This window comes from Homo sapiens, chromosome 20, assembly GCF_000001405.40.
Source record: "Homo sapiens chromosome 20, GRCh38.p14 Primary Assembly".
Classification (NCBI taxonomy): domain Eukaryota; kingdom Metazoa; phylum Chordata; class Mammalia; order Primates; family Hominidae; genus Homo; species Homo sapiens.
The window spans coordinates 58,656,373-58,674,673 of NC_000020.11; the positions used below are offsets into that span (position 1 = coordinate 58,656,373).

The 18,301-nt window shown below is 39.9% G+C and overlaps 1 protein-coding gene and 1 long non-coding RNA gene across 9 annotated transcripts in view, besides 5 other annotated features; both read left to right on the plus strand.

Moving 5' to 3' along the window:
* Positions 1-18,301, plus strand: part of STX16-NPEPL1 (STX16-NPEPL1 readthrough (NMD candidate)) — a 64,592-nt gene that overhangs the window by 5,120 nt on the left and 41,171 nt on the right. Inside the window, exons 2-8 of the long non-coding RNA NR_037945.1 lie at positions 3,251-3,262; positions 11,118-11,225; positions 11,615-11,755; positions 12,919-13,081; positions 14,140-14,231; positions 14,782-14,925; positions 17,259-17,339. This is a non-coding gene — a long non-coding RNA (STX16-NPEPL1 readthrough (NMD candidate)). The remainder of the gene's footprint in view (positions 1-3,250; positions 3,263-11,117; positions 11,226-11,614; positions 11,756-12,918; positions 13,082-14,139; positions 14,232-14,781; positions 14,926-17,258; positions 17,340-18,301) is intronic.
* The window catches only part of STX16 (syntaxin 16), a 28,244-nt gene that overhangs the window by 5,090 nt on the left and 4,853 nt on the right, over positions 1-18,301 (plus strand). For 3 of the 8 annotated variants that reach the window (NM_001001433.3, NM_001134773.3, NM_001204868.2), the window contains 7 exons: positions 3,251-3,262; positions 11,118-11,225; positions 11,615-11,755; positions 12,919-13,081; positions 14,140-14,231; positions 14,782-14,925; positions 17,259-17,339. In NM_001001433.3, the coding sequence (NP_001001433.1) occupies positions 3,251-3,262; positions 11,118-11,225; positions 11,615-11,755; positions 12,919-13,081; positions 14,140-14,231; positions 14,782-14,925; positions 17,259-17,339 (741 nt within the window). The remainder of the gene's footprint in view (positions 1-3,250; positions 3,263-11,117; positions 11,226-11,614; positions 11,756-12,918; positions 13,082-14,139; positions 14,232-14,781; positions 14,926-17,258; positions 17,340-18,301) is intronic. The other 5 variants (NR_037941.2, NR_037942.2, NM_001134772.3 and 2 more) reach the window with 3 other exon arrangements.
* Positions 4,895-5,394: an enhancer, noted in NCBI's record as "H3K27ac hESC enhancer chr20:57236323-57236822 (GRCh37/hg19 assembly coordinates)". NCBI's record gives its function as "activates a minimal SCP1, AML or CMV promoter by ChIP-STARR-seq in naive H9 embryonic stem cells {active_cell/tissue: H9 hESC(naive)}" and the evidence as "EXISTENCE:reporter gene assay evidence [ECO:0000049][PMID:30033119]".
* Positions 12,959-13,614: an enhancer, noted in NCBI's record as "OCT4-NANOG-H3K27ac-H3K4me1 hESC enhancer chr20:57244387-57245042 (GRCh37/hg19 assembly coordinates)". NCBI's record gives its function as "activates a minimal SCP1, AML or CMV promoter by ChIP-STARR-seq in primed H9 embryonic stem cells {active_cell/tissue: H9 hESC(primed)}" and the evidence as "EXISTENCE:reporter gene assay evidence [ECO:0000049][PMID:30033119]".
* Positions 13,443-13,582: a silencer, noted in NCBI's record as "silent region_13075". NCBI's record gives its function as "represses an Ori minimal core promoter by ATAC-STARR-seq in GM12878 lymphoblastoid cells {active_cell/tissue: GM12878}" and the evidence as "EXISTENCE:reporter gene assay evidence [ECO:0000049][PMID:35858748]".
* Positions 13,615-14,272: an enhancer, noted in NCBI's record as "OCT4-NANOG-H3K27ac-H3K4me1 hESC enhancer chr20:57245043-57245700 (GRCh37/hg19 assembly coordinates)". NCBI's record gives its function as "activates a minimal SCP1, AML or CMV promoter by ChIP-STARR-seq in naive H9 embryonic stem cells {active_cell/tissue: H9 hESC(naive)}" and the evidence as "EXISTENCE:reporter gene assay evidence [ECO:0000049][PMID:30033119]".
* Positions 14,273-14,928: an enhancer, noted in NCBI's record as "H3K27ac-H3K4me1 hESC enhancer chr20:57245701-57246356 (GRCh37/hg19 assembly coordinates)". NCBI's record gives its function as "activates a minimal SCP1, AML or CMV promoter by ChIP-STARR-seq in naive H9 embryonic stem cells {active_cell/tissue: H9 hESC(naive)}" and the evidence as "EXISTENCE:reporter gene assay evidence [ECO:0000049][PMID:30033119]".

The window sequence follows — 18,301 nt, forward strand, 5'->3', positions numbered from 1 at the left end:
GCCAAGTGCAGGTTTTAAGGTAGCAACTCATTCAAGCAGCTTGGCTTTAGGAAACTGAAATGGATTTATGAAGCTAAACAATTATTCAAAACAAATTGTAAAGTCATAAAGAAATGAATGAAAGGTAGATATTGAGATGCTCTTCTGATCTGATGAAATTCTGTATGGATTTGTGTGGTTTCCTTCGATCTCCGGGAATGGATCTAATATAGGGGTTGGAGCTACTTTGTTAGTGTTTACTGCCTAATCTATACTCTGCTTTAAAATAATGCATAATCTATAATTGGAAGCTAGCGTTAATTGGTCTTAGATTAGTTTGAAACATAAGCACATTATTTTTAATAAAATGTGTGCTTTAGGAAAAAGGAAATTAAGGATTAACTATGGTTATAAGAAACCTGAGGTCCTTATTCAGGCTTGACTACAATATTAGCTAAGATTTATGGAGAGTTTACTTTGTGCCTGGCTCTGGGCTAAGCCCTTTCCGTGTGTAAGCTCAGCTCATCTTCACAGTGCTCTATCAAATAAGTACTATTGTTTTTCTCAGATACAGATAAGGAAACAGATTTTAGAGGAGGTAGGAAACTGGCCCAGTGTCACCCACCTGATGGCTGGGGGCTGTGATTGGAACTCTGGCAAATCTGGCTTCAGAGCCCCGTGCTCACCTCCTGGGCCACTCTGGTGTTGGCTGCATTTTCAGAACTTGTGCTGCAGATCCTGGAAAATGGAAGGACCTATTGTTTTAAAACAATTTTTTTTCTTGCAATAGGCTAGCATCTTTCTTTATCTCACTTTATGAACCTTACATAGTCAATTTTAACTTGCAGATTGAAGATTCTAAGTTTTAGTACAAGCTGAGTCTGTTGGAAAATTAGTTCTCTGTCTTTAGAATCCAAGTATGAAATCATTATATATTTCTCTTTAGATCTACTTGCTTTTCTGCTTTTAAAGATTCCATGGGAGCAGTGAGGCTTACTTTGAGAATAAGGGTACTTTGTTGGATAAAAGTGAAGCAAACTTTTATTTTGGCAGTAACGGAAATAAAGTAAATATCACTATAGCATAGACCTGTGTTTCCAACTCATTTTGCTCAACTTTTCCAGACTTCCTGAGTAAACACAGATGGGTTTCCACTTATTTTTCAGTTTTATGTAGAAAGTTCTTTAGACTATAAATTCCACATGCTACTTGGAGTTTTCAGTGTTTGCTTGATTGCATGCCATTGGAAGGTCAAAAACCTAGATTTAGACATTATAAAGATTTAGAAGGTGATGATGTGTAGTAACGTGTTTTCATTTGGCTTTATTTTGGTCTTTCTTGATGGTAATTCTAAATGTTTTAATTCAGGTCTTGACTAAATTTCCTGGTAATTTGGTGGCAGACAGAATTTTGAAAGCCTTCTATTTTTAAATAGCAGAATGGTGGGGAGGGTCTTTGAAAAGGTGACCTTAATTTAATATTCCTGATGTGGTGGTAGCTGCCTATCACAAGTAATTCCCTGAATTGTTAATAAAATTAGAGAGGCTGGAGGGTGGGGTGGAAAGAGACCTGAACACCTGGGTCTGTCCCCAGTCTGACCATTAACAAGCTCTGTGGCTTCAAGCAATGCATTTATACATTTTGAAGCTTAGTTTTCTTATTTGTAAGAAAAGACTTATTTCTAGCCCTAGAATCCCATGATTCTGATTTCACCTCTTATCAACTAATAATTGTAGAAATCAGAAGATCAGGGTGTGTGTGCTCGGTTAATAATCCAAGAGCATAGGCACATGTGCAGCAGAGATTTTAACCGAGGTTTGCAATAGTACATCGTTCAAAGATTAAATGCCAGGGAGCCGCTGCAGAATAGGAAGAAGACTGAGATACTCAAGTTAGGGATTTTGTCTTGCATCATGTTTTATTAATAAAAGATTTTAATGTTCTCTTAATGTTAAGCTTTTAAAAAATAAAAACATTTTTTCTTTGTAAAGTAAAAGGTAATTAAATCAGCTTTCCATTTGATTTATTAATATCGTCTAGTACTACTATTATGGCAGGGTGTGTATAGAGTTCTTTTTTGCTCTCATAGAAAATTGTGGAAGGAATGAAGAGGATTTGCAGCTTTTCATAATGTCATCTAATTGAATTTTTACGTGGAGTAAAGTTTGATTACATTTTTATTGCTATCATTGTTTAATAATATTTTGACCCTGATAGAGCAGCTTCATTTGCACTATTTTTAAATAAGAAAGTTATGTTTTATTTTCTAAATTTACTGCTAAACATAAAAAAACACAATTGATTATTGAATTTCACCACTAATTATTTCAGTGATCAATACTGTACAAAAAAAAGACCTAGTTGTTTAGATTATCTGTCATTAGTAAATGTCTGTCCAGAAGATAGAGTTCCATGTTGATCTAAAAAAGAACCTTTACTTTTCAATTGAAACTTAACCCTCTGGTGTCATGCTTCTCCCTTCCCCCTCCCCTTAAAAGAAAAAAATTATTCTTACCTTTTGTTTTGTCTCGTTTGCTTGCTTTTATAAGAGCCTTATGAATAACTGTATGCTTTCTAGCTAATAATAATACATACCAAGAGATGGTAAGAGTTTTTCTTTTATTTTGCCACCTGTGTCTCTCTCCGGGAAAGAGTGGTTTCTCAGCTCTCTTACTACCAGGGATGAAGCCGTGTCTGCGGGATGTAATTTGCAGAGACCTTACATATGTGGTCACTCACATGTTATCTGAATACAGCTACAGACAATTTTTGTGGGTCATTTATTTTTTAATTTTGTTGCATTTGCAGGTCTGATTTACATGTTAAAATATACATTTATTTAACATGATAAAATTACATTTTAGCTCTGCTCTCTTATTTTATTTTCCTGAGGGAAAATAGAATGTGGTATTGTATGTGATATTTGGTGTTTATGAAACAGATTAACAGCATATTTTAGTGAAACCAAAGCAAGTGTGTTTTATCTGTTTCCAGTGTATTTTAATATTTACAGTCATTTTTTGCTTGTTTCCTAGCTCATTTTCAAAACAACCACAGTAAATAAAAATTAAAGCATATATTGATGTAGCTTAATTTAAAAAAAAAAAAGGAGATTTTAAAATGCCTTGCTTAGTGGATCTTTATATTTAGTCAGCTTAAAATCTCAGTGTTTTCTCAACTGACCATGCCTTGTCTGTCTGTCTGTCCCATGCTGCTTTCTTTGTGCTTTCCCCAACTGGATGGGACTGATGGGGACAACATGTCTCTTCAGGAGCTGGACGAGGTATTGTGTTTTGAATATTTTTATATGTTGGGTAATTTGAGTTTATAAAATACCTACTTTTCCTGAAGTCTTTGCTCATATATAAAATGCTAACAGCTTATACATATTTAGCATTTGTTTTGATTACTTTATAATTTTTTTAACAGTTTAATATGTAGAATTTAATCTATTTTCACACCATGTGAACTGATGATTTAAAAAAGGCTTTGGGAAGATCGTTTACTAGTCTTGGGAAAGTGTCTTAACTTTGGAAGCAGTAAAGGTTGAACACTTTCTTCAAGGAAGCCAGAATGTTTTGAGAATTAATGTCTGTAGCTTCCTGATTTCTGAGAAGTGAGTCGTGCACTTCCTCAGGTAGACAGTATAGAAGGCCAGCATGTCTGTGAAGGCCCTAAATGAGAAGGACTGTAGCCACGGCAACTGTGGGAGGGTCTTCCTTGTCACTCCTGTCTGGAATGAGATGACACCCAGTGGATGCACCTGGAGCTATTGTCACCTGGGCCCAGTTCTGCATCTCCTAGCTGGGGGTGCCTTTGGCCTTTTTATTAGCTACTAGCATCTTGCCCAGAAGGTGGAGAGAATATATATTCAAAGCACTTTATTTTAGTAGCCGGAGTAAAAGGGTTGAGAAAAAATGAGATTAAAACTGTTGTTAATGTTTGTGTCTATTGTCTGTTTCAGCATTGAAGGGGTAAGAATATTTTTCCTGAGTATAGACCTTTTAAGTAGAGTGATGGAGAGGTGAGGGTTGTTCTTGTTTGTTTTCATTTAGAAGTATGAATAGTAAAGTAGGATTAGGAGGATCACTGTCCTTAAAACCAGTGGGGTCCTAACTAGTAGATTCAGATCTACCTATATATTCTAAAAACCTTAACTAGTTGATAATGACAACAGACTGAGCACAGCCTAAATAGCCTTCATTGGGAACTGGTTAAATATATTGTGTAGCATCTCTGACCCTCTGTAACAGGTAAATAGTGAGGCCCATCCATGAGAGCTGCAGTGGAATAAGCCCCAGACACATGGCGGAGTGGAAAGACCCAGATGCAGAGCAGCATGGATAATATGATTCCTGCTCCTTTTTTTTTTTTTTTTTTTTTTTTTTCAGGAAAAATAACTCATATTTATGCTTGTGTGTGCTTAAAAAATTCCTGAAAAGATACACAAGAAACTGTTAACAGTGGATACACCCCAAGAAACATCTGGGATAGAAAACTTCCTTTCTATTGCAAACCCTTTTCTTAGGGTGGATATATATTTTTAAACCATGTGCATGTATACTTTGCCACTAAAAACAATTAGTTAAAAAAAAAAAACACCACTCAACGGGTAGCTGACTGAGCCAGGTGTCATGGTCATGCCTGTGTGGGGGTTTCCTTTCCCATTCAGGAACCTCACTGCCAGCTCCCCGCCTGGGCACGGGGCCCTGGAGAGGGCTTGGGGGCTTGGAGAGCAGGCGTTCTGAGTTAAAATAGATGTTGCTACTGGCTGAACAGTTTGAAGATATGGAGCTTATGACCTCAAAAGGAAGTGTATAGGATGCGAGGGAGGGTAACAAATTATGGAACCACTTAGGTTGAAGAACCATTTGAATAATGTTCCAAGGAGGGGCACATAAGTGGTCATAATTACTTCGGGGTCTGCTGTCTGAACCGATTTCCAGTCTTTCCTACTTCCTTTTTCAGGCAGCAAGTTCCAGAAACTGGCTACTCACTGCATGAACTTGGCAGGCCCTTTTGCTTTTCTTATGTTTCACCTCTAAGGGCTTAAAAGGGAGTCTTCACGCTCTGTGATCAGAGGCCCTGCGTAGAGAGCACTATCTCCTCCACGCTCACCCCAGTGCTATTAGAAATGCAGGTTGCTGCCTCATCGTGGGTGCCCACGGCCACCTCATTTCCTTGTGCGTTTCACTTGCCTCTTTTGCTCTTTTGTGCAGTGCCGTTATCTTTTTCATGAAGTGTGGCTTCCACAATTGTCTGTGACGTACATTTTATTTACCTCGTGCATTCATTCCACTCGTTTCTTGTCGGATCACTCAGCTGGTTGTGATTGTGCGTTCAGGACTCTGAAGTGCCAGGTACTGGCCTAGGAGCAGGGGGTGTGGTTGGGGACAGTGTCCAGAGGCTTCTTTGAAGCTGACGCAGGGCCTCACATTGGCATCTCTGGAAATAGTGAACACCCAGCTCCAGAGTGGATTAGATGTTAGCCACCCCTTTATAGGGGAGGCCTGAGCAAATGTCCCTGAGTGAATATCACTTGCATCTCCCAGAGTAAAGGCATCTGACGGCCTCACTTCAGAGGCTTCCTGCAGTCTGTCCATGTTTGATTGTCATTCTCCTCCTCTAGCCTGAGTACCCTGGAGATGTCACTTTTCCTTCTCAGAAAACACTAAGTAAGGTGTTCCCTGAGGAGGACCCGAGCCCACCATTGGTTCTCTTACCCAGGGAAGTGTCTGGCCCTCTCCTTTGTTCTCTGTCTTTAATCTACTTCCTGTCTTATGACAAAGAAATCTCTGGGAGTTTTTAAACTCAAGAATTATTTTAAAAGTCACAAGATAACAAATGTCAAGCCCCCAAACCACACTGCCTGGAGGACTGCACATCTGGGAGTGCCTGGGCCGGGCCCCAGTGTCCATGTTGGTGAAATAGGGAGCGGCGCTCCTCTGAAGGATTGTTCTTGGGACTGGCATGGGCCAGGTCAGTAGCAGTGCTCAGTACAGTGCTCACAGAAGGCAGGGAGGGACGGATTGCTCCCCTCCTTTTTCTTCCCCTCAGAGTATGTATGTTAGTTGAGAAAAAAGGAAAATCAGTGAAACTTAACAACAGTATCAGGGTGATGTGATTCTCAAGTGTTTTTATCTCTATATTTTTTGTATCATTTATTTTTATTTTTTTGAGACAGAGTCTCACTCTGTTGCCCAGGCTAGAGTGCAGTGGCGCGATCTCGGCTCACTGCAACCTCTGCCTCCCCAGTTCAAGCGATTCTCCTGCCTCAGCCTCCTGAGTAGCTGGGACTACAGGTGCGTGCCACCATGCGTGGCTATTTTATTTATTTATTTATTTTTGTATTTTTTAGTAGAGACGGAGTTTTGACATGTTGCTCAGGCTGGTCTCGAACTCCTGAGCTCAAGTGATCCGCCTGCCTTGGCCTCCCAAGTGCTAGGATTACAGGCGTGAGCCACTGCGTCATCCTATGCCATTTTAAAAGTATTTATTTTGACCATTTACTAATTTCATAATTAGAAAAGGTAAGCATTATTTTAAAATTATTACGGGTTTAGAAAAATGTAGTGCTGACATCACTTTTTTCTTTTATCCACATGCTTATTCACTTCTCCAACAACTCGGATTTCTTAAGCCTAATTGTCTATTAGCGAAGTAGTCTGACTTCATCATACAGGCTCCCAGAGTTTCACGTGGAAGTGTGAGTTGCCAGTCTGTTGATTTTCAGTGTCCCTTCTGGGCTTTCCAAGTGTTCATTGCCATAGACAGTCCAGAATTATCGGTATTGTTCTCATTACCAATGCGTTACGGCTAAACTTAGTTGATTTTTTTAGATGGGGAGGAGGTGTAGCTGACTTTTCCAATCTCCACAGAGGCTTTGCTATTTCTGTAATCTTAGTCTACACTAAATCAGCCTTCAGGGAAAGGCAGGGTTTTTAAGAGTAGGAGGGCCATAGATTTGGAACAGCAAGATTTATAAGAGAGAATGTGTATGTTCTTTCCATAGATGGAGAACTTGTCCATACTGGCTGGTACTCTTTAAATGGACAAATGTCAACATTTGAAGTGGATCAAAGGCAAAAGATACCTTTAGTGAGACTGGCAGGAAAGCCATTGGGTGTGCTGTTTTGAACATCTGTTGGATTTTTTCTGCATTTCTCTCAGGAAGGATGGCTCTAGGTTAGGGTAGCGGACCCCAGTAGTTCTTGGAGAGAGGAACTACATATCAAAGAGGCAAGAATTCTTAATTCTCTTAAGTACAATTTTTATTTAAAAAATATGGATTTTTTTTTTTTTACTTCAGAAGCACAAATTTATTTATTTATTTATGTATTGAGATGGAGTCTCGCTCTGTCTTAATAAAAGGCTGGAGCACATTGGCACGATCTTGGCTCACTGCAACTTCTGCCTTCCGGGTTCAAGTGATTCTCCTGCCTCAGCTTCCCGAGTAGCTGGGATTACAGGTGCATGCCACCATGCCCGGCTAATTTTTGTATTTTCAGTAGAGACGGGGTTTCACCGTGCTGGCTAGGCTGGTCTTGAACTCCCGACCTCAGGCAATCCGCCTGCCTCAGCCTCCCAAAGTGCTGGGATTACCGGCGTGAGCCACCATGGCCAGCTGCACAAACCAACATCATATATTTGGAGGGGGCACCATGTTGAAATTCAGTAAGGGTAAGGAGAGAGAATTAGAAACCTGGCCATTTTTTAAGATCTGTATGAAATAGGATGGCAGCTTGAAAATTGATACATATGCTGGATCTTCAACAATAAGAAGACATGTTTTTAAATGGAAAGTGAGGTTTCTGAAATTAAAAGGGTGCTTATGTTGCACATAAAATTTGTTTATGTCCATATTTGTTCCCATTTCAAATAGTTGACGCTTATCTTCAACAATTGTTTTCCCTTCCCAAAACATACTGTCTTGTTTTTTAATAGTACATACTGTGATACACATTACAAATCCATACTGCTAAAAGAAATGACACATTTCTTCTCAATAGGGTGGTGTTTCTTTATTATAATGAACTATAGCTATAGACTGTATCATAAAAGAGACAAATTATTCGCTATTTAAAGTTTTCATTCCCAAAGAATCAGCTGTTCTATCTTACTGGCAAAACTCTGATACAATGTGTGGGAAAGCTAGTACCAGCTGAGCAGGCTGGCATCCATGCTGTTCATGTAGGAATCTCTAATTAGCAAGCTTCCTTAGGACCCTTAACAAAGAGTGTGTTCTCCCCACTTTTGATTTACATCTAATTTGAGGGGAACACATGCATAAAATCAAGTACTGCTTCAAAGAGTTGTATTCACTTCAACCGACTTTTCATATGTGGTTTATAATTTGTTGTTTTGGATAAAATGATACTAATCCCAATGCAGGTAAATTTAGATAGATACCATCTCTCTGTCTTCTTTAGTTTAATGTGTATTTGTAAACAGTAAAAACAGTACAAAATAAGATCATGAGCTTAAAAACTCTAAAATCACTATAAATAATTACTGATTGAAATGTGTAATAATAAAATATAGTGGATTCGATAATAAACTGGTGTAGTGGAAATTCTAGGACCCATGAAGAGGTCCTTTAGCAATTTTAGATTTTACTTTGTATAAACAGCTGGAGTTCAAGTTCTGTTCCAGTCCAGCAATACTGTAGACAGCACCTGATGTATGGCTGGCAGGTGCTGCGAGCTGGGCCTGTGGTTTGTCCCCCTGCTTTTTAGTCAGTGTGTCCTCCACAGAGTTGTGTACCTCTTGGTGACTTTGGAGCAGGAGTGTTGAGGAATAAACAAGTCTGCCTCTGAGTGCTTGGCACAGGCCCTCTCTGTGCCTGCTCTGTAGAGGGTGAGGTCTGCGCCTCTCTGTCCACGGATGGTCAGTAAGAGAGGATGATCTTTACTGACACTAACGTCACTCACTGGCGGCCTGTCCTATAGTGCCTGGTGTAGTTGGTGGGAAATGAATCAAACTACTGTGTTTTGTTGTTTTAATCTGATGGCTTGTCTTGATTCATTTTCTTAGCAAATTGCAGTTATAGTTTATGGGCCTGTGGAGTGATTGGCACCTTTGAGGGTGGAAGGGGTTTCTGGAGTCAGCCGACCCAGGTTTCAGTCTGTCACATAATGGCTCTGTGACCTTGGGCAAGCGACTTAACTTTTCTGAGTTTCAATTTCCATATTTATAGGTTAGAATAATAGTTTCTAACTCACCTAGTTTTTATGAGGATTAAAATAATGTCAAGAATGTAAAATTCCTATTGATGAACTCTTGAAACCAAACAGAAGGTAGTGGTGGTGGAGAATTACCACTTCACGGCCCGGGAGCCCCAGACAGTGCGGGTTTGGATGACACACCATTTGTTTAAGAAATGACACTGGCCCTGCAGCATCCGTGCCACGCTTGAGCACCGTTGGGCTTAATCACGGCTCCTGGACGTGCTGGGATTAGTGAATGGGGCCTAGTCCTTCCAGCGTGGTCATTGCCTAAGATGCGTTCCCTGAGTGGACACGTGCCCCAGAGCACACAGAAAGCCTGAAGCAGATGGTGGCAGAACCACTCCAGGGCATGCAGGGAGGTTGATGGTGAAGATACCAATTTGCTTTTAAGAATTTTACTGTGAACTCTTTAGGATTTAGGGCCTATTACTTGAAGTGGTCTTTTATTCTAAGTTTTTCTTTATATGATATTTTTCCCCCTTCATCTGTGGATTTTAAAATTTTGTCTTGTTCCTTTATTATTAGAAAAGCAAATAAGTATTTAATGAATGAAAAAATAAATTTAGTTAAATGCAAGGAAGAGGGAAGAAAAGCAATATGAATTTTTCACCCAACTCTACAGTGTGATTTAGAAAATTTCCAAAGTATTATCTATAAAGGGCTTTTATAGATTATTTTCCATTATATTTTGATCATCATTTGGATCTTTTGAAACTGGCATTTAAAAATTCTGAGCTCTGGAGGGCACCTCAAAATCTTTTCAACCCATTCACTGCCTGCAGGCAAGAAAACAGCTTAACCGTGCCAAACCCATGATTTCCCTCTGTTTTTTGTGTGTGTGTGTGTTTTTTTTTTTTTTTTTTTTTTGAGACAGAGTTTCGCTCTTGTTGCCCTGGCTGGAGTGCAATGGTACGATCATGGCTCACTGCGACCTTCGCCTCTTGGGTTCAAGGGATTCTCCTGCCTCAGCCTCCCGAGTAGCTGGGATTACAGGCATAAGCCACCATGCCCAGTTAATTTTTGTATTTTTAGTAGAGAACGGTTTTCACCATTTTGGCCAGGCTACTCTCGAACTCCTGACCTCAGATGATCTGCCCGCCTTGGCCTCCCAAAGTTCTGGGATTACAGGCGTGAGCCACCGCGCCCAGCCGATTTCCCTCCCATTCTTAAAAGCTTTCTACCGCAGTGTGTTATATAGTTAAAATAAACAGGAACCATCGATACCATTTCAAAATAAGGGGAAATGTTCCCTGTGGACATTTAACTGAAGAAAAGAAATGACAGTGTAAGATTGCATTGAGATCTTAAGGATTGCTTTTGCCAAATGGTAGATAATTTGCTAGCGGTTTTAGGCAGTTGTTTCACACATCTTAACACATGGTTAATGATTGTGTGACTGAGATAACTGGATCAGCCCTATTTCCAAAATAAGCTAAGTGTATTTAAGTAAACCTTGCTACTATTGAGCATTTTGTAGTTGTTTCATTTACTGCCTAGTTTTTTTTTTCACTTGCAACTGATCACAAGAATCATTGAGGTTCATGCCGTTCTATCACAGTACTAGTAGTAAGAGGTCTTTATTTTAAGGATCTTTTGTTGACTTTTTCATTACATTTCTATAGCCAGATCAAGTCAAATTTACGTTCTGAAGTATGTCCAAGGAAATTAAGAGCTGGTGCATGAAAAGATAGGAAAACAATCCAAATCCTAGCAGTTATCAAAAGCAAGTTTATAATACAGGCAAGTGCATTCACTCCTTTCTATATATTTTCAGGGAGCAACATTTAAGAGAGAGTAAACATTCACTCCTTTCTGTATCTTTTCAGGGAGTAACATTTAAGAGAGAGTAAGAGTATTTGTATCTAAATTGGATTAGAATAATTTTTTTCATGTCCCTTTACTTTCCTGTAGCTTGCTGATGACCGTATGGCACTGGTGTCAGGCATCAGCTTAGATCCAGAAGCAGCGATTGGTGTGACAAAACGGCCACCTCCTAAGTGGGTGGATGGAGTGGATGAAGTAAGTTCCATGTTAGTTTCATAGCATCTTGTTTTTTTAAGTAATTATGACAATGTATTTTAAGATATCTGTCATATAAACGAATTTGGCTACACTTGAATGTATATTTCTAGAAATACTTTAGCTTTAGGTTAAGTTGTCTATGTGTGTGTTAATGATTTTAGCTGTAGTTTTAACATTGGTAGTAACTACCTGAATTATAGGAAGAAATTGAAACCCCATGCAACAAGGAAGAATGTGATTTTCTGGTAATTTGAATTAAAAGCTGCTCACACATCAGCAAGCCAACAAGTTTGCTGAAGACCGAATTCTGTATGCTGAGTGTAGCTGATGGAGGCAGACCATAGCCTGCCTGGCATCAGTGGAGTTCTGTGACTTCATTTGCTTAGATTCAGTATGATGTTGGCCGGATTAAGCAGAAGATGAAAGAATTGGCCAGCCTTCATGACAAGCATTTAAACAGACCCACCCTGGATGACAGCAGCGAAGAGGAACATGCCATTGAGATAACTACCCAAGAGATCACTCAGGTGAGGAGTGCAAGTGAGTCCTGGGGAAACCAGCGAGCCTTCTCATGGCAATCTCAGAAACTAGAGTGTTACTCAGAATCAGTCTCCTGGAGTCATTTCCCAACCTGAAGTTCTCAGAGGGACCTCAAGAGGCCCTGAAGTCCTCCAGCTGTCAGCGTAGGTACCTGTGAGGCCTTGGAGGTATGGGGACTGTTTTTCAATTGTTGGCAGATAACTGCTGTGGACGGATTAAGTAAATATGAAATTTCAAACATTATCGAGTTCAATCATTTGATTTTAAAATGTATAACTAATATCGTATACTAGTGTTAAGAAATTTCAATGCTAAATTATAGTCCTCATAATTGAAAAAACAACTTAGTATCCTAGAAAAAATTTTTTATAAATATTAAATTTGATTAATTTTAAAATAATAGGACTAGTGTTGAAACCTCAGTGTTTACATTTTTTACTGAAGTCTCCTGGGTGCTAATTATCAGAGGAGTGTGGTGCTTTGAGAAAAGCCCTGGGGGGTTGGAATGTTGGAACCCTGGCTCTTAGCAGTTTAACAGTTACACGATTCTCATTTAATCCCTCTGACTCTAGTGTTCTCATCTGTAAAATGGGACTAATAATCATAGTACCATCCTCATAGGATGCTTGTTAGGGATTAAATGAGAGGAATGCAATAATAATATGATATATGATAATACAGGTTGAACATTCCTAATCTGAAATCCAAAATGCTCCAAAATTTGAAACTTTCTTTTGAGTGCCAATATGACACTCAAAGGAATGCTCATTGGAGCATTTTGGATTTCGAATTTTCAGATTGGGGTACTCAACTAGTAGGTATTCTGCAAATATTCCAAAATCTCCCGAAATTTGAAATCCTAAACATTGCCAATCCCAAGCATTTCGGATGAGGGATACTCAGCCTGTCTAACGTGATGATATGTGAGCAGCTGGGCACACAGCAGGCCCTACATAGCAGGAGCTGAAATCTAGTGAAATCTTTCTGTGTATATAAATGAAGCCACAGATTCCTTTTATCTGTTCACCTTTCTCTAAACCAGACTGAGTGAACAGAGCCTCTCACTTCTCACTCTGGCTTGTGATGTGGCAGTGTTAGCAGAGGGGCTTCTCTCCCAGGCTTGCCCTGAGCCTCGGGCTTGTTCTCTTAGCTCTTCCACAGGTGCCAGCGTGCCGTGCAGGCCCTGCCGAGCCGGGCCCGGGCCTGCTCCGAGCAGGAGGGGCGGCTGCTTGGGAACGTGGTGGCCTCGCTGGCGCAGGCCCTGCAGGAACTCTCCACCAGCTTCCGGCACGCACAGTCAGGCTACCTCAAACGTGAGTGCTGCCCGGGCCTAGTGAAGGGATTTTGAGTAAGAAAAGCACTTTATGTTTTCTTTTTTGCCACTATTTTTTCATTTAGTCCAGTACCTTTCATTGTTAGCTTTTGAACATGCTCATACCTTGTACAGTAAAGGGAAGCCTCCTCCCCATGTGAAACCCTGGCTTGGAATGAAGGCACAGCGTGGGGTACCGACCAAGGCTGGGGGAGGGCACCAAGATAGTTCAGCATCTCAGCAAACAAAATTTGTTTTGTGTCAAGCTGCAAGAATTTGAAAATCAACCAAGCACATTTTAAAAACCTGTTGTTTTCTGGATGTTGGGGTTTGGGAGAGCTGCTCTTCAATAGGTAAAAAGCAGTTGTTATTACTGAAAGCCACATATTTGCATAACAACCAAAGTGTTTGAGAGCACCTGAGAAAACCTCCCCAGGGTCCTTGAAACACTTCCTCTGCTGGCACCACAGGTTTCACCCAGCAGACCTTTTCTTCCCAAATAGTGCAAAGCCAGATTTCAGCTCTCTTCTCATTCTAATCACCCTGTAAACTGGGTTTTTTAAAATTGCCCTTGCAATCAATAAAGTCCCCACATACTCCAAAAAACCTAGTTCTCCCTCCCTCTGACAACTGGCATATTTGTATTTTAATTTTATTATTTCCAAAATTTGATTAGGGCCATATGGAATTCATACTAGAGATGCTTCTAGAGAGAAATACTGATTTTTTAAAATGTTTTGTAACAGCAGTTAGATTAAATATTTCTGCTTCACTTAGAGATTCTCAGATGGTTGTGTCATTTTTATCTTGGCATCAAGTGAATTGTGCACATTTACACTGTGACTTTTGTCTTGAGTAATCCCAAATGCCTGCATATTGTTGTATGTTTGTAATCCTTTACTCTCCCTCCACCCCCATTGGAGATAGGCTTCTTTAAAGCGGCTAAGAATATCTCAATTTTGACTGTTGGAGTTTACTCTAGAATTCCCCCTTTTAATGGTAGAACAATACTCAGGATGGTTTACATATTCAAGTAAAATGAATTCCTATCTGTGATAGGCATGAAGAATCGAGAGGAAAGATCCCAGCATTTTTTCGACACATCAGTACCACTAATGGATGATGGAGACGATAACACTCTTTACCATCGGGTACGTGAACGGGCTGCAAAGCTGATTGCTGTGTCTGTGCACCCCATTCTGCATCTTTCACCTCCTAGACCTCGATCTTCTGTGCAGTGTCAGTGGATTGATACAGTTGACTTGTATATTCATCAGGTTGTTTTGCAGCAGGTGGAAGAACAGCCGTACTGTTTCTTCCTTTCCAAAGGCCACAGGGAGACCTTGTAATCTGCTTTCCAGAGCCTTTGGGAAAGTGGTCAACACCCTGCCTTCTTAGGAAGAGCCCAGAGAAACAGAGGGCTATCCCGGGGGTTTTGTTTATCTGCCCTTGTGGAGTTGGCAGACGTGGGCTTCTGTCTTCCCTGCTATGGCCTCAGAGCTTTAGATCCTGCTGGTTTAGGGAATTTGAATCTTTCCTGTTAGGGAAAAATGAGTGCTTACTGTGCTTTGTAGAAATATTTTCAGAATTCATTTTCTTTAAATTATTTTCATTGTCTTTAAATTATATCTAAACAAGTATACCATAGCTTTCCTGAGAGGGAAAACAATCTATCCAACACATTGTGCACTGTCTTGCTAGGGTTTTACAGAGGACCAGTTAGTTCTGGTGGAGCAGAACACACTGATGGTGGAAGAGCGGGAACGAGAGATTCGCCAGATTGTACAGTCCATTTCTGACCTGAATGAAATATTCAGGGACTTAGGGGCGATGATTGTAGAACAGGTACGTGAGCTGGCCTTCCTCGTGAATAGGTTTTCCTGCCATACTATCTGTACCTTCTTTTTCCTGTACTCCTTTCAGGGAAAAAAATTGGAGCCAATTTTCCCAACATGTGTGTGCACCTGTCCTTTATGTGTGTGTGGGTGTGTGTGTGTGTGTGTGTGTGTGTGTGTGTGTGTATATTAATATTAATCAAATATTAAATTTGATTAATTTTAAAATAATAGGACTAGTGTTGAAACCTCAGTGTTTACATTTTTTACTGAAGTCTCCTGGGTGCTAATTATCAGAGGAGTGTGGTGCTTTGAGAAAAGCCCTGGGGGGTTGGAATGTTGGAACCCTGGCTCTTAGCAGTTTAACAGTTACATGATTCTCATTTAATCCCTCTGACTCTAGTGTTCTCATCTGTAAAATGGGACTAATAATCATAGTACCATCCTCATAGGATGCTTGTTAGGGATTAAATGAGAGGAATGCAATAATAATATGATATATGATAATACAGGTTGAACATTCCTAATCTGAAATCCAAAATGCTCCAAAATTTGAAACTTTTTTTTGAGTGCCAATATGACACTCAAAGGATATATATACATAGCAATCCTAATCAGAAAATATGAAGTTCAAAATGCTCCAGAATTCAAAACTTTTTGAGTGTTAACATGATGCCACAGGTGGAAAATCCCTACACAAGACCTCATGTGACAGGTTGCAGTCAAAACTTTGTTTTATGCACAAAACTAGTAAAAATATTGTGGCCGGGCACGGTGGCTCACATCTGTAATCCCAGCACTTTGGGGGGCTGAGGCACATGGATCACCTGAGGTCAGCAGTTCGAGACCAGCGCGGTCAACATGGTGAAACCCCGTCTCTGCTAAAAATACAAAAAAATTAGCTGGGCATGGTGGCAGGTGCCTGTAACAGCTACTCGGGAGGTTGAGGCAGGAGGATCGCTTGAACCTGGGAGGTAGAGGTTGCAGTGAGCCGAGATTGCACCATTGCACTCCAGCCTGGGCAACAAGAGTGAAACTCTGTCTCAAAAAATATATATATATATATTGTATAAAATTACTTTCAAGCTATGTATATGAAACATTAATGGTATATGAAACATAAAGGTATAAGAAACATTAATGAATTTTGTGTTTAGACTTGGGTCCCATCCAGAATATCTCATTATGTGTATGCAAATATTCCAAAATCTAAAAAAAAAATCCCAAATCCAAAACACTTCTAGTCTCAAGCTTTTCAGATAAGGGATACTCAGCCTGTATATGTGTGTATTTACAAATTATATACATAGGCTACTGTCATTCCCTATAAGAATATTAATAAATCTTTTTTTGATAAATGAAGTTCTAATATTCTCTTCCCATGCCTCGAGGGTACTCATGTGAGCACCCTACTCTAGAGACCTAGTTGACTCTGACCGAGCTCAGCAATGATTCTGACGCTATAGAAGATTTCCCTTCTAATTTTGGCAGGTTATTGTGTAATGGCAATTGGAACCACTAGCGTTCAAGTAGAATTAAATTGTTGTTCACCGTTAAAATCTGATTAGGGCATTTTATTATCTTGCCAGCAGGGATTTGGGTCCTGATCCCCCTGAAACCAACTGCAGAATGGAGTGTTCAGGCTCTGGAAGATCCAGTTACATTAATTACTCCAGTGGTTCCCAGTGAACTGCTATCTCTTCTAATCCAGCATGTTTCCAATAAAAGCTCTGTTCTTCCTCATAGCCCAGTGTCCCCGTCTTCCAATTTAATTGTTTAAGAGATTAAACAATTAAACATCTTCCCCTTGAGTCCAAATTTTTAATTTTAGGTGGTAGACTGGAGTTTACCATTTCCTGCTCTGACCCATAGAGATGTGGATCCACGTTTATAGACGTGATAGTCAATTTGCAGGTCTACTTATGACAGGGGCGAGCTTACCTGGTGTTCTCTGCTTACTTGAATCCAAGTACGTAGGCAGCAAATGGGCGCAGAGCTTCTGTGCTGCTCAGAGCCTCTGTCCACTGGACCATAGATTTCTTAGGGCCCCAGGAAGTCCGAATATGGCATTTCTATGGCAGCTGAAACCAATAAGGAAACCTCAGTCTGTCAGTACTTCTTTCTCGTGAGCTAGATGTGATGGCACTAACCAGCATTCTGCCATCGAGCTCCTGACACTGCTTGAGGGTGAACTCCAGAGCCCTCCGTGTGTACCTGCAGCACACAGGGAAGGAAAACATCATCTTATGGATGATGATGTCTGTAATTTGCATATCTCATTTTTGACGTTCAGTTTTCCCAGTTGCTATTGTTGATTGTCTGTAACTGTCATTTATTACCTAGGGTACAGTCCTTGACAGAATTGACTATAACGTTGAACAGTCCTGTATCAAAACTGAAGATGGTTTGAAACAGCTTCACAAGGTAATATGTCTTTCAAGACTTGGGAATCTTAGGAACTATTTTCAAATAATCAAGAATTGGTAAGAGGGTTCTTTTCCACCATAACGATCTTCAGCATTCTTGTGTTGTCCACTCTCAATACAGTAGTGTAAAAAGGGATTCATCATTTCATTTAAAGCCAATTGTGGGGGCTGTTGCCGTTTTATTGCAGTTAATGATTCCAGGTGTATCTCACACTTAAATCCAAAATTGCTAAGAACTCCTTTTTGTGACAGTAAATTCTAAAGAGATTGGAGTTCTTTCTTTTAGAAAATATTTCATTCTTTTCTAATGCTTCTTGTTTTAGGAAATCAATTGGGCATTTGCTAAAATATGTGTTGAAAATCTGTCTGCTTGTTGCCGTTGACTTGGGCCTCTCTTGTGATACATTCCTGATGAATTGCTGATGGAGAATCATTCTGCAGAAGATAAAAATCTAATCTTCTCTTTAATTACCACAGCATATCTGTATTACCTTGAGAAAAGAGAAGTTTGTTGAAGTGAGAGTAGTAATTCTTTTATTCTGTGCTAATAAGGTAGCTGTTTCAGGGATGTTTTTATGATATTCTCTTTTAAAAAAATAGATGGAAAGCATCTTAGGAATCTTATCGGTTATAAGAAACATGCATAAACGGCTGAGACTCTCATATATAATTGGTTACGTATTTTCTTTAAAAGGAATATAACAATACTTCACAAATTAAATAATATCCATTTCCTTGTATCTTTGAGACCCAGTGGAGTTTCTAGCCATATAATGAGTGTTTTGCCAATTCACTGTTGGACTACTCTACCATTTTTCTGAAATCAGTCGCTTCCTATACCAGAGATCGCCCCATTTAATAGCAGTATTGGGTTTACAAAAAGTCAGCCCTTGCACTAGTCTAACCAGAAGCCCTGAGCTGTCTTTTCAGGGGGCTTGTTGCCATGTGTAGGTGGATATG